The 14532-nt window shown below is 34.0% G+C and overlaps 1 protein-coding gene and 1 long non-coding RNA gene across 13 annotated transcripts in view, besides 1 other annotated feature; one reads left to right on the forward strand and one right to left on the reverse strand.

Moving 5' to 3' along the window:
* CALCRL-AS1 (CALCRL and TFPI antisense RNA 1) overlaps window positions 1–8674 on the forward strand; it is a 544253-nt gene extending 535579 nt beyond the window's left edge. Inside the window, exons 4-6 of the long non-coding RNA NR_187179.1 lie at window positions 7878–7988; window positions 8227–8312; window positions 8632–8674. This is a non-coding gene — a long non-coding RNA (CALCRL and TFPI antisense RNA 1). The remainder of the gene's footprint in view (window positions 1–7877; window positions 7989–8226; window positions 8313–8631) is intronic.
* TFPI (tissue factor pathway inhibitor) overlaps window positions 1–14532 on the reverse strand; it is a 90206-nt gene that overhangs the window by 74622 nt on the left and 1052 nt on the right. For 5 of the 12 annotated variants that reach the window (XM_047445620.1, XM_047445621.1, XM_047445618.1 and 2 more), the window contains exon 2: window positions 5653–5786. The exons of the other annotated variants lie outside the window; for them this stretch is intronic. The gene's annotated coding sequence lies outside the window, so the exon portion shown is untranslated. The remainder of the gene's footprint in view (window positions 1–5652; window positions 5787–14532) is intronic. 12 annotated transcript variants of the gene reach the window in all.
* Window positions 7978–9177: an enhancer, noted in NCBI's record as "P300/CBP strongly-dependent group 1 enhancer chr2:188411556-188412755 (GRCh37/hg19 assembly coordinates)". NCBI's record gives its function as "activates an origin of replication core promoter dependent on BRD2, BRD4, P300/CBP, MED14 and CDK7 cofactors, with strong dependence on P300/CBP, by STARR-seq in HCT116 cells {active_cell/tissue: HCT116}" and the evidence as "EXISTENCE:reporter gene assay evidence [ECO:0000049][PMID:35650434]".

Raw genomic sequence — 14532 nt, forward strand, 5'->3', positions numbered from 1 at the left:
TTTTGCAATTGTAAGTATTCATGCAAAAGTGTGTTTGTAGTCTAATATTTCAAAACTTTGAAAGTTACTTATTTATGGTAAATTCACAGGAGAAGAATTATTGGGTCTAATATTTAAACATTTGAATAATATTAATATATATTGAAAATTGTCATTCAGAGATATAATATCAACATACACTTTTCTTATGAGCATATGAAAGTGTTTATTTATTTGTACCTTTGCCTAAATAGAGTGTGTGTGTGTGTGTGTGTGTATGTGTATGTTCTTTCAAACTTTATCAATTGTTCATATGGATTTCAATAAACATTAAGGGGCTGCTACTGTGGACAGTATAATGTCTGTGAGTACATTAGAGAAATATTTTACAGAGTGTGAGAATGCAAAGTAAGGACCAGTGATAATAAAGTTCTAGGTGTGCCCTTGTACACTCTTTTTTTCTTTCAAAATAACTTAAGAATTAAAATGAGATGGAGCAAATAAATATATTGATGTTATTTTATATGTAGGACAAGGTAGTGTGAAAAAATGAGATGGATAGAATGGACATAGGAAAGGCATAAAAAAAGATCGAAGTTTACCAACTTTTTAATGGAAAAACACACTAACCATCTATAAGATTCAGTTTTCCATTTGTTAAATGAGGCTATTAAGCCTATTTGTGTTTACGAGTGAAGATAATGTGTAAATACAGCAGATAGTGTGTAACCTTAGTGCATTTTCCTCAGCAAAATTTAATCCACGATTGGAAACTCCAACATTTGTGATTTTTTTCTAGAAGTAGAAAATCCCTTCAGATAAAGTTTGATGAAAGTAGATAGAGAGCTAGAAAAAAAATTGGTCCATTTGTTTTCAAAAGGCTAGATGTGACTTATTCCAAATCAGACAACAACAAAAAAGAAATGGTGGAGGAGAGGAGGGATTGTTAATGTGAAAGCAGTGTCTAGTTTATCCTCAAACTGAATAAACATGTTTTGTATTCAACATGCTTATTCAGAGAATTCCTGACATCTTTAACATCACAACCACCACCCATTACGTCATCTTCTTTTTTTTTTTTTTTTTTGAGACGGAGCCTCGCTCTGTCACCAGGCTGGAGTGCAGTGGCTCGATCTCGGCTCACTGCAACTTCCGCCTCCCGGGTTCAAGCAGTTCTCCTGCCTCAAGCCTCAAGCTGGGACTACAGGCGCCCACCACCACGCCTGGCTAATTTTTTTTGTTGTCGTATTTTAGTATAGACGGGGTTTCACCATGTGGCCCAGGCTGGTCTGAAACTCCTGAGCTCAGGCAATCCACCTGCCTTGGCCTCCCAAAGTGCTAGGATTACAGGCGTGAGTCACCGCGCCCCGGCCACGTCATCCTCATTTATAACCCTTAACTATTTGAGCTTGATCCTAAACAGAAAGAGTAAGATCCTTACCTTGCTGCAAAAAATTGCAAAATAAGATGGAAAAAACATAGTGTGTCAATAAATCATATCATACTATGATCAAAATCACAGAAGCCCCACTGCATATTCAGTATAGGGGGATTAATGCTGTTAATAATATGACAGCTGTGAACTGGAAGGAAATAGTATTTTGAAGATAGATCCTTGGTAAAGTGAAATATCAAAAACTTCTGAAAACTTGGAAAGAAAGCTCGATAAATTAGGACAAAGAATGAGCAAAATCTGTGAGAAATTTTATAGATGTAAGTCATATAAAGAGATGACTTCTTTTATGTAATACATTTTCTTAAAAGAAAATAATAAACCAGCCAGGAGGGGTGGCTCACGCTTGTAATCCCAACGCTTTGGGAGGCCAAAGCGGGCAGATCACTTGAGGTTAGCAGTTCCGAGACCAGCTTGCCCAATGTTGTGAAACCCCATCTCTACTAAAAATACGAAAACTAGCCTGGTGTGGTGATGTGCACCTGTAGTCTCAGCTACTTGGGAGGCTGAGGCAGGAGAATAATTTGATCCCAGGAGGTGGAGGTTGTAGTGAGCTGAGATTGTGTCACTGCACTCCAGCCTGGGTGACAGAGTGAGACTCCATCTCAAAAAAAAAAAAAAAAAGAAAAAAGAAAAAAAAGAGAAAATAATAAACCTTTAATTAAAGAGGCAACTTAAGAGATAGGATTAAATAATAACAGATCATTCAAGATGCTTCAGATTCTGAAGCACAAGTGACCACAAGCAATATATTATGTAAAAATATTCAGACACATTTTCATATATCTTCTCCATATTTCATAACATCACAAATACTTACCACACACACTCAAAAACTGTAAGACATAAAACTAAAAAGTTATCCTAACATGTATACTTGAAAGTTTTCACAGAGCAATTTGAAATATATTCTGGAATATCAGAAAGCCAGAAGTTTGGGGATAAGAATTATCTATGATTTGTAACACAATATTGGAAATAGTGGTCTAATTTTTGAGAAAATTCAAAAGTAAATTCAAGAGACTTTTATGATTAAAATGATAAGGCAAGTGAGGAAGAGAGAGGAATCAAGGCCACCTACAGTGAGCATCTGACTTTAGCAAAGGAGTCAATTGATGGTTCCTGGCACTGACTTGGGAGCCTAAAATAAAAAAGAACGTAGCCCTAGGAAGGTGATTAATTCAAGGTGAGGCAGTTTGAGTTTGAAGGATTTGTGAAACCTCCAGTGGAACTATGAAATAAAAAGCCCCATATGTAGCTATGGAGCTCAGAATAGAGGTCTCTGCTGGAGACAAAAACTTGAGAATCAGGAGACAAACGATCATTGTTTCGTGGGGTGAATGAGATCTATTTATTTAACAAGTATATATAGTATTTGATGTGAAGCAAGCACTCTCCTGAACGCTTTTACAAATATTAACTCATGTAATCCTCATAGTGACTATGAGGTGACTGTGAAGATTGGGAAGGAATATCCTAGAAGTGAACTCTGAACAACCAGGAGAAAAACAAGTATGAGAAAACTGAGAGGAAATGGCCAGCAAAGCAGGAGAAAACTTGGGAAGCCGCAGTTACACAAACACTAGGGGAAGTGATTATTGCCAGAAATTGTCATGAGTCAACAATGTCTAACGCACAGAGTGTTCCAGAGGGCAAGGGGTAAACACATGCATGGGATTTAATGACAATGGCATCACAAGTAACCTTCTAAAATATTTTAGCGTGAGGGGGCAGCAGCAAGTGAGATGGGGTAGGAACAGGAACAGAGGCTATGAAAACAGAAATTTAGGATGCTATTTTATAAATCTGTGCTGAAAAGTAACAGACAGAATTTGAAGAGAAAAATTTTATGAAGGTTATAGTTGTATATGGTTAAAAAGGGAGAGTCAAAAGCTGTAAGAAAAGTAAAATAAATAGCAGATGCGAACCCAGGCACAGGTGAAAAGAGTTTAACTGTGGGCTGAATAAAAGATGTATTTCCCATTAAAATGATAGGTTTTCTTGGTGGGGGATACAAATACATTTTTAAAGTGTGTGTAATGAATGTGTGTTTGTGTGTGTGTGTGTGTGTTTTGCCAGGGGAAACAAAGAAACAGAAACAGAGAGAGAGATGAGAAAGTTGCTGAAGAGCAGATAGGAAGACGAAAAATTTCTTGCTGTGATTAAATTTTGTGTACAAGAAAGAGATTGAGATTGTCTTTCAGAATGACAAGAAGCAGTAGACTTTTAAAAATGTGAAGGTTTGATGTTCTCTCTAGGTAAAATAAAATGGAGCATTAATAATTTAGCATTAAAAGATTTCTGGGGCTGGACGCTGCGGCTCATGCCTGTAATCCCAGCACTTTGGGAGGCCAAAGTGGCTGGTCACGAAGTCAGGAGTTTGAGACAAGCCTGACCAACATGGTGAAACCTCTCTCTACTAAAAATACAAGAATTAGCTGGGCGTGGTGGCGTGTGCCTGTAAACCCAGGTACTCAGGAGGCTGAGGCAGGAGAATTGCTTGAACCCGGGAGATGGAGGCTGCAGTGAGCTGAGATTGTGCCACTGCACTCCAGCCTGGGTGACAGGGTGAGACTTAGTCTCAAAAAAAAAAAAAAAAAAATCTGGGCTGCTGGAATCCCAACTATAAATTAATAGTAACTTCTGCTGCCTTAAAAATTCAGCATTTCTCCCCTCCAGATACAGGAATTTAATATTTGAATGATTATATTTGGATTTTGTTAACTGGACAGAGATAAAGAACAAAAGAAGCAAGACTTTGACAGGTGCTGGTAAGAGGAAATATATAAATGGTTTAAATGGTTTATTACTTAATCATCAACTAATCATTTTTTCTACATGTGTTCTTTCAATGTTTAGAAATGTAGATAATACTTCAAATTAGTAATATCACACTTGGGAATTAAAAATATTAAAATGGCTATGTGCACGTTCATATTTATTTTACTAGAGAAAATAAAATTACATTTTAAACAATGTAGATTTCCAACATAATTAAAGTTATTAGATATGGTGGCACATCCATCTACCGAATTTAATATACACTAAGTTAAACTGGCAGTGATAATGACTAGAAGATAATTTGGGAATAATCCACATGATACGAATTTGAAATGCTGTACACAAAAATAGATGCATAATTTAAGATCAACCAAGTAAAAAACTGGTGTTCATGGAGAAAAAGATGGTTTGGTAACAGAAAATACTTTAGGTCAATGAGATTATGAATTCATTTTCATAGTTTCTCTTCTACTTAAAAGAAGTTTAGTCATCTGGTTTGTTTGCTCATGAAACATTCTCTGCTACATTAGAGAGTGAGAAGACTCTTTAATATGTTCATAAATCCAGCTCTCAGAGAAGGTTAGCCTACACCCACCTAAAGAATAAATCACCATTAACCCACATTAATCATGGTGATTCCATTAACTTTATAGTGTTTGGTTTAGATATCTCTATATGAACTCTGGCTAACAAGTTGAGAGGGGATGTAGCTGCATGGTTGGGGATGGGGTGATTTTGAAAATTCTCCTTGCTGTGAATGCAGCTATATGGGAAGAACCACAAGGTATCTCCTCCTTCTATTTGTCCTGTCTGTAAGTGACACTTGTTACTGAAGCTGCAATCTTGTAACATTGAGGCAGACAAACTAAAAATAAAATTTATCTGCTGTGTATGATGGAAATAAAAATATAGGAAAAACCTGGTTCCTTGTTGAAGGAACCAGTCTTGAAGCAGCTTACCTCTGTATTTTGTACCTCTAATGCAGGCTAATAAATTTAAGCTAATTATTTATGCTACCTGTGCTGTGGTGGTTTCCTATCAGCAGCCAAATATAACCTCACAGTTGTTTTGCTGTTTTTGCTTTCACAAAAGAGCTATTAACCAACTTAAAAATGTTTTTTGATTGAAGGATGCTTAGGGGATGAGAGGATATCAACAATATAAGCCCATGCCAAATCCCCATTTCTTATCATTAAAACTGACCTGACATTAAAGCAATGCTTAATTTTTTACCATAAGAGTGAAATTTTGGGATTATAATTTTAAAGTGTAAAATATTTACACTTAAATTACACTTATAATTTTAAAGTGTATAATATTTACACAGATTAAAATAAAATATGGGAAACAATGAAGCAAAACATTCTAAACTTGAAAAGTAAATTGATATTACAAACACAGAGTGACTTAAAAACAAACAAAAACAACAAAAATCAAACCTCCGTTATAATTGCAGATTTGTTGACTAAATGTTTACTAAAAGACTGGCTAGCTTGAGCCCAGGGGGCGAAGGTTTCAGTGAGCTGAGATTGTGCCACTGCGCTCCAGCCTGGGCAACAGAGCAAGACTTCATCTGGAAAAAAAAAAAAAAAGACTCGCTAAAGGGAAATTTCTTTTTGGATTTGGCTCTTTTTACAGGAAGTCATACTTTTCTGGAGAACTACTTGATGAAAAATTTCTTAACCTTACTTCATGAATCAAATCACAACTCTTTCTACATTTTAGATTGTGAAAATCTCACTGATAAGAAAAAATAATTGTTTCTCTTGGCCAGGTGCAGTGACTCACATCTATAAAACCAGCACTTTGGGAGGCCAAGGCGGGCGGATCACCTCAGGTCAGGAGTTTAAGACCAGCCTGGCCAACATGGCGAAACCCTGACTCTTCTAAAAACACAAAAATAAGCCGGTTGTGGTGTGCGCCTGTAATCACAGCTCCTCGGAGGCTGAGGCAGGAGAATCGCTTGAACCCGGGAGGCGGAGGTTGCAGTGAGCCGTGATCGTGCCACTGCGCTCCAGCCTGGGTGACAGAGGGAGACCCTGTTTCAAAAAAAAGAAAAAAGAAAAAGAAAAATAATTGTTTCACTCTTTTAAGTACAAAAGTAATTGTACATAGTTTTTTAAAGGAGGGAAGTCTCTTCCAAGAATAAAACTGTTCACTGTATAGAATTAATATTTTTGTTATTCATAGTATTAAAAGAAAATCCCTTGGAGAGGAAATAGCAATACCAGGCAAAATGAGTATATATTTTTATGTTACAACACAATAGCATATAGCATATGCAAACTATTTATTTAAATAATTTTAAAGCTAAAATGGAGATGAGGTCACACATTTATACACTGCTAGAGCTAAAAACAATCATAGAAATAAGTATCTGAAATATCCAGATTTTTTAAATACAAAAACTGAAGCTCAGGAAATTGATTTTTTCACCCCAGAGTCTTACATTTACATATTGGCAATGTTTCAACTCAGACATAGGAATGTGACCATTCAAGGAAAGGGCAACTGCAAAGCTTCAAAAGACACGCTATTCTCACAAATATTTTCCTTTTTGTCACCTAAAGTAAATTTCAGATTACTTACAATCTCTAGAAATTAACATTTCATTAAACCATAACTAGGAAATGTGTATTTAATATTTGAGCAAAAGTTAAGAAACATATTTAAACTTAATTAAAACAAAAATAAATTAAAGAAAATTAATTAAAACAAATTTTTATGTAATGTTTTGAGCCAAAGTTAAGAAATTTAATTAAAACAAAATCATTTTTGGTGTTTATGTTTTTGATAGGTAAAAATAATTTTCTCCTACCAAATAACAGGAAATATTAATATTTATTGCCAATTAAGAGAGGAATGTGAGTCCTGGAAGTGGAGAAGTGAAACTGAGAGGCAATAAGGGGGAAGGGGGAGAAGAGATCATTAGAAAATTAAGAACAGGGCAAATGTAAACATGTAAACACATTTCTTAAAATTTGCAATTGAAATCTGAAGAGAATGTGATATACTATAGATCTCCACTACTAAGAATACAACGAACACATTGAAATAAAAAAGAAACACATAATAAAGGAAATAATGCCAATGTTTCTTTTTATAGTAATGAATAGTATTTTAATATGCCTGTTCTATGTATAGTTGTCCATAACTACTAAAACTCTCTAAAAATGAATGGAATTATTTTGTCTGGACTTTATAGTTAAATTTGTAAGTTTTTTTTTTTTTTTTTCAGAAAAAGATTACATTGTTTTCTTTGAATGAATTCACCTTTCTTCATCAAAACTACTGATTTCCATACTAACTAAATTTGTTTAAAAGCAAAGCTCTTTATGGTATGTTATCGTCATTTCCTTAAGAGGGGAAAAAAAACAAATAAAAGTTAGCATTACATATCTGAACCAAACGGAGGTTTTCAAGAATAAAATTCTGCACAACTACAAAACTAGTAGCTCCAAATGAAAGGAAATGGAATAAAAAACGAATGCAAGATAATACAATGAATTTTTGGCATGAGAGGAAAAAAAAAGAATAATATATTAAATGTGTATTTCTCTATTATAATTACCATACATATTAAAAATGAGAATGATATAGAGAGATTGAGAAACCTGTGGCTACTTTTGGCTATTTTACCTGCTTTTTGTATTTGCTCTTCTAGGTACCTGTTATTGAGTGAGATAAGCAAATGGTATTTCAGGACCAAAACATCTGTTTCCTGAAGAGTTGCTCCTTTAATTGTGTATCTACCTACCTGTCTATGTAACTCTTGGTAAATGAATTAATTTGTTAGTTAAAATCAATCTATTAATTCATAATGAATGGGATATCTTGTGGGAGGTACATGTGCTTTGCAAATACATGGAAAGACGAGACTTTCCTAACAGGTTCTGGAATTCAGGTTGATATTACCTTTTTAAAAATTTTTAAGGATTAATAGCTAAAAAGATCAAGTCAGTTTCTTCATTTCTCCTGAAGGCCTGTTTCCATCAGATTTTATCTCTGCCTAGGCAAATACATTGGAGACTTCTCAACTTTCTGCTTCTGATGATCTCAACTTGTGGTATGGCAAAAGGAGAGCAAAATGTTCACCCAGGTATGGGAATTTCTCACAAAAATGTTACTTTATTATATTTAGGGGAAAAAGGGGGCAAAATCTACACTCATAATACCTGAGACTGGATTTCTAGAACCTTTTGGTTTCAGATTTATGATGAATTAGAAAACTTCCTGATTAGAAAAATGTTATAGTTTCAAATATTAGCTAAAATTTTTATCTGTAAGTACAATAAACATGACAAATAATGATCAGTGTTTTCACTCCTATTAAGGAGAGTATTTTTAGTAATAAAAATAAGCCTTAATGTGAAAAAGCTAAGAATTCATGATTGCTTCTAATGACAAGTATCTGGGAGGGGTCTGAGTTTGGTTCAAGAGAGGAACTACAGCTGTTGGTGACTACAACCATCTGCCCAGATGACATCGTGATCAACTCCTCTGAATCACTCTAAAGGAACGAGAAGTCCTGGCAGCTGAGTCATGATCCCCCAGGAGCCATTAAGAAGTTAATCTTCAGTCACTTCCATCCAAACAGAAGAAAACCCATGAAGGATGAGAACTATGGGTCCTGAGAATGACAGGTAATTGGTGCCACTTTATTCACAGAATCCAATAAATAGTACTCTTTGATTCACATATTTAATGCTCATTATTGTACATTTTTATAAAGACAAGTTAGTCTAAATTGCCATTCATCTCTTTCTTATCAAAGTCCTACCCAACACATGATCATATCATCAGAAATCAGATATTTTCTTGTTGAATGCCCTACCTAACTCATTCAATTGTAATTTTCTGGGAATGGTGACCAGAGATTTGATATTTTTGGAAGTTACATCAAATCCTCATTACTTTATAAGTGATTTAAAATTTATCACATGGTACACTTTTCATATCTTTCAAAGGATTAATATATAAAAAATATATAGTTAATGCTCAGCTTTAAAGACATTAAAGGACAGAGTTATACAGAAAGAAAGATCCAGAGATCTTTCTTTAATAAAGATATTAAAATTGAATCTGCTTATTCAAGTATAATGATAGAACAGAAAGAGATCTTAAAATTGTTTAATCTCTTCCTTGGCTTTCAAAAATATAAAGTCTTCTTTATTGGAGATTTCTTTATCCATAGAATATCTTAATTCCCCACTCCCCAACTTCCTCCCCATGTGAAGTTTTATCTGTCTTTAAAATATTTGTGTTGTCTTCTTCAGGATATATCATTGATTGGCACTTTTTGATTCTAGTTTTATATACTGTTATCCTTGTATATTAAAGTAGGTCTCAAATATATCTTTCATGGTGGTGTGTAAGGTTCTGAGAGAGCTGGAAAAAAGGTATAAGCTCCCTTCTAAAGTGCAAGTATATACTTGCAGAGATATTTTTTCACTTACATTCTTGGAGATCATCCATGGTCTCCCCATGTCTTTTACAAAAGAGGTTTCCAGCACCTATTAGGGAAGCTAGATGGTCACTTGTATCTTCCTTATCTCTGTATTAGATGATAATATCGAATGCAGGTAAGTGGTGGTGGGGAGAGTAATATTGACAGAATAGTTATATGGCAAACATTGGCACCTCAGAAATTTTTTGCTTTTTTGAGGGCTCTTATTAATATTTGCAAACTTTAAAAAGCCTTGAAAAGAGTTTTATCCAGAGCTCACCACATATAGAAAAACAGATCTCTCTTGTTATGGGAATTGAGGCTAGTCCAAATTCCCCCAGATTAAACATCTTTCCTCATTTGGCACATTCTTCAGCTGTTCCTTAAGAAAAAATCATACTAAGGAAAGTTAATTCTGGGAAGTCTAGAATTAGAATAAAATTATTACACTAAAAGGAAAGCCCAGATATCTCTTTAAAAATGCTTAATTTTTTTGAAAACTCACATCAGCACCAGATCATTTCTTTAATGTGTACAGATTTCCTTTCTTCATTGACTAAATAGCTTTGCTAAACGAGATTAAAACCACATAACTCAAATGAGACATATAAGATCTTGAATAATGTTCACATAGCTACAACATCAAATTCCAGTGCTAATATAAATTATGTCTACTACGTTTTCATTTATTTGGGATTATCTGTTTGCCTCAAGTGGTGTAAAAAAATTGAGCAGGAACCACCTGAAACTTCCTTTCACAACAAGAGAAAGTTGTAATTTGTATTTACTTTACCTAGCTTTCTTTATATGAATGTAGCCAAGAAGCAGGGGAGGAAGGACAATTACAGGAAATTGTGATAGGAAACTATTAGGAAAAGCAATTTGTAATTTCTGCTAAAACTCTAGGTAAATAACCCTGAGCATTCATAGTCTGGCAAGTGGGAAGTACCTGTTGAACAAGTGATCACTTGATTGATTTTAAGCATGTGGAGCTCATTTGTCATCTAAAATATAGAAGAGAGTGAGATATTAGCTTCCTGAATAGCTATTGTTATTTAGAAAAAATAATGAACCAATAAACTTCTTACATAAGATGAAATAACTGTTTTCTAGAAACAGTGATCTTATGTTCTTCATTGTATAAACACTTATGTACTCATATCACATAGCTCCTGGGATACAATAAACAATAAATGTATGTTTATCTTATTTAGGCAAACTAAAAGTTACAGGCTCTGTGCCCTTAAATTTTTAAATTTATATTCATCTTTTGTTTTTTAAGGTGTTATGAAAATACAATTTTAAAAGCCCTTCTATTTCTAACCACCATGTATTAACAGGGATTGGATTTTTCCACCCACCTGAAATAAGTAAAAAAAAAAGACAAAATATAAGAAATTATATTGGTCAGTGGAGAGCAGTGATTTCATAGAGATGAGAAACAAGTGTTTAGCCCCACATTTGTACATTTGTTCCACCAGACTGAGTGGAGACTCAGTTTAGTTTCTATATGAAAGCTCAGGGAGGAGGAACTCTACAAGAACCCAGTGGTCTCGCTGAGTTTGGGAGACAAAGCAGACAGTCTCAGGAGGTAGTTAGGGTATATAGTACCGAACGTCAGAGAGGACAGAGTTACACAGAAAGAAAGATCCAGAGATCTTCAGATGGACTTCTAGGCTTCAGCTCAATATTGATCTGTTGCATTCATAAGAGAAAAGTCTAAAGACTGGGTGAAGCACCACCTAAAAGGGTTAGAGGGGCCCACACATGTAAAGCAGGGAATATTTTTTGTTCCCAAGTTGCAAAACTCTCAGTTCATGGAGCATTAAGTATAGTACTCAGGTGTTTGCAACAGTAGTAGGAAAAAATTAACCATAGAATAAACAATTCTCTGGTCTTGCCTAACAAAGTTTAATAGCAAGACAACAAAATAGGAAACAGTTTCCAAGTACTTTAACTACATCCCAGAAGAGAGCTCAAGGATATTTATAGAAATACAACATATACCAACACCCAATAAGGTAAAATTCATAATATTAGGCAACCACATCAAAATTACTAGGGATGCAAAGAACAGTAGAATATAACTCATAATGAGAAAAGTCTAAATGACAGAAATGACATCAAAAACAGAATTAGCAGACAAAAATATTAAAAATGTAAAGTATTTTCCATATGTCCAAAAAACTAGAGAAAAGTTGTATTACATTTTAATATAACCATTGTGATTCATTTTCTGAGATGAAAATTAATCTTTGAAGCTTCCTAAATGGACTTTAAAATATTACCAAAATATTCATAATAAACACCATTATTCTGGAGACTTACCCTGTTTCTGAGATTTACTCTGTTTTTAAGCCTTGGGAAATGAGGAATGAGGAATGAAGTGATGCTTACAGATGAATTATCATAGAATTCAAGGACTGGATAGAAATAGATAAGGGTCAAGAAGAGGAGAAGAGATAGACTAGGTTGGCAGCAGTGTGGTGGCAGCACTTGAGGGTGTGGTATATTTCGAGGGTGTCAAAGGCACATTGTGCTTGGTAATAAAAACTGTTTACATTTTATCAGTGTCCTACTGATGAATACTTTCACATTTCTGATGTTGAAATAGCTTTCTTATGCCCTAATAAGCAATATATAATATTTTTTACTCACATATTGACTGGGTAATTCCTTGCAATAATTCCAAGTCTACACAGAGACCTGTGGTCCATCACATGGAACAATTGGGATAGTTGTACTGCAGCATTGGAACTTCTATTATGGGCCATGATGTCCTTATATTCTTTTGTTTTTGAAGTAATTTTAACACCTGGTTGTTCCAACTAAGAGAGGACATAGCATCCCAAATAGAGGCTTAAAGAGAAAACAGTGGATTTGACATGGGCCCATACTTTCTGTTATTGTCGGTTTGAGGAAGAAGAAAAGTAGAGGTGAAGAAGTTGCCTTCAGCAACTGGTAGCTACTGGTAGTTGAATCTCAGGCTGTGGTTCTACTTGGCACCTGACACTTGGAGAAGTGAAGACAGGGAGAGAAAGGTAATGGGAAGACTGGGCCCCCGGAATTGATACATAACACCAAGAAAGCAGTCAGTGAGGATTTCAGAAAGCCAGGAAAGATGGTCTATTATGAAGAGAACTTGCTGGAAACACTTGAACACTTCCCTGTTTCTGGTGAGATTTGATATCCAGAAACACATGTCTATTGAATTCAAGTTTCTCCTAATGCACATTGTAGCAATCAGAAAGAATTATAGTACTGCTATATTTCTATAAAAGATAGCAGAATCTACCTTTGACACTAATGCATGAAAATATATTTGTGTTTTAAAAAGGCAGCCTGCCAAATTTAATTCCTAAAATGAGTTAATTGCTATAGATGGTAAACAAAAAAGGATGGCTGGTTGTAGAAGGCCTTTATTGAGAATAGATGAGTTGTATTGTAGTACAATTCTTAGATCATGTCCACATAGAAAAAAATAAATTGATGATATAATTAACCCATTTTAACCTATATTATAATTCAATTTAATTAATTTATACTGATAAGATTTTTTTGAAAATCCTAGTCTAAGTAATTTTCTTCACTTTTCATATTGTCTGTTCCTTTTTATTTTTTGTAAGGATGTTTACTTTGCATTTTTTTTCTTGTATTAGGTAGAGATATCAGTTGAAAGATACCTTAAAATTTTGTGACACTGAATTTAATCAGCCAACCATTCCTAAGGAATTGATAGCATATTTACTATTTGGTTAGATGGATAGGCACTCTGGCATTAAATTAAGTCTCTAAAGTTGGCATTTTTTCTCCATTAGTTTGCCATCCTGCCCACTTACCTCTTGAATTTGAAAGATGTAAACAAAAGATTTCTAAAGATTAGAAAATTAATTTTTAAGATAATTAAGCTGTTTTGAAAATTAGAGTTTATTACAAAATATGTTATCATTTTATGTATTATTAATTTAACAATAAGTTTTATGACAGAAGATTTAAGTCAAAATAGTTGTACAATCAACAAGCAAATGATAATCATTTCCTTAAATGATTATCTGACTGATAAATGGACAATCAGTCAGACCATCAAACACCAGTTGATAACATAATCCATTTGGACAGGAACCACATTTCCAAAGGAGTTTTGATTTAGTCATTGGTGGTAAAACAAAAGATATCAGACTGTACCTTAAAAACAAAGAAACAAAACAAAACAAAAACTTGTCCAATTCAGTATACCTAATAGAGATAGGAATCAAATAGTAGTATATGTCATTAAACTTTTCCAACAAGATTCTGTGGTCACTTGAAGTAGAAAAACTTGGTTTTCCAATATAACTACTCAAATCAGTAAAAATAAATATTTTAAAGTTTTACTCTTATTTTAAAATTACTTGATTAGTTATCTGTATTTACATTAATATTTTTCAATCTTTGTTGATCCCTAATTATATTTCATATAATTTTATTAAGCTGTAGGCCACAAATTAACATTTCAAACTCAGCCAAATTTCAGGGACTATCCCTCTTTAGTTTAAGGATTAGATGAGATATGGACACTGTATATTGAAATAATCATGCACTAGAATGATAGATTTAAAATAATCTTTAAAATGTGTTAGGGAGATTTTGCCTCCCTAACACATTTTATTCAAAAGTTTTGCAGTATCTCTCAAAATTGTCACAACTTTCCCCCTTTCATGTAAATATTATGCTTTTACACATGAAATATGACTCTCTGGGCAGTATGTTTCCTGCTTGAGTTTTGCCCTTTGTGTTTATATTATCTCATGTTATACAAAGTCATTTTGTGACTAATTTCCAGAGCACTGAGTCACAGTGTGGCTGTTGCTTATCTTTTCTTTTTTCCCACATG

This window comes from Homo sapiens, chromosome 2, assembly GCF_000001405.40.
Source record: "Homo sapiens chromosome 2, GRCh38.p14 Primary Assembly".
Taxonomy (NCBI): Eukaryota; Metazoa; Chordata; class Mammalia; order Primates; family Hominidae; genus Homo; species Homo sapiens.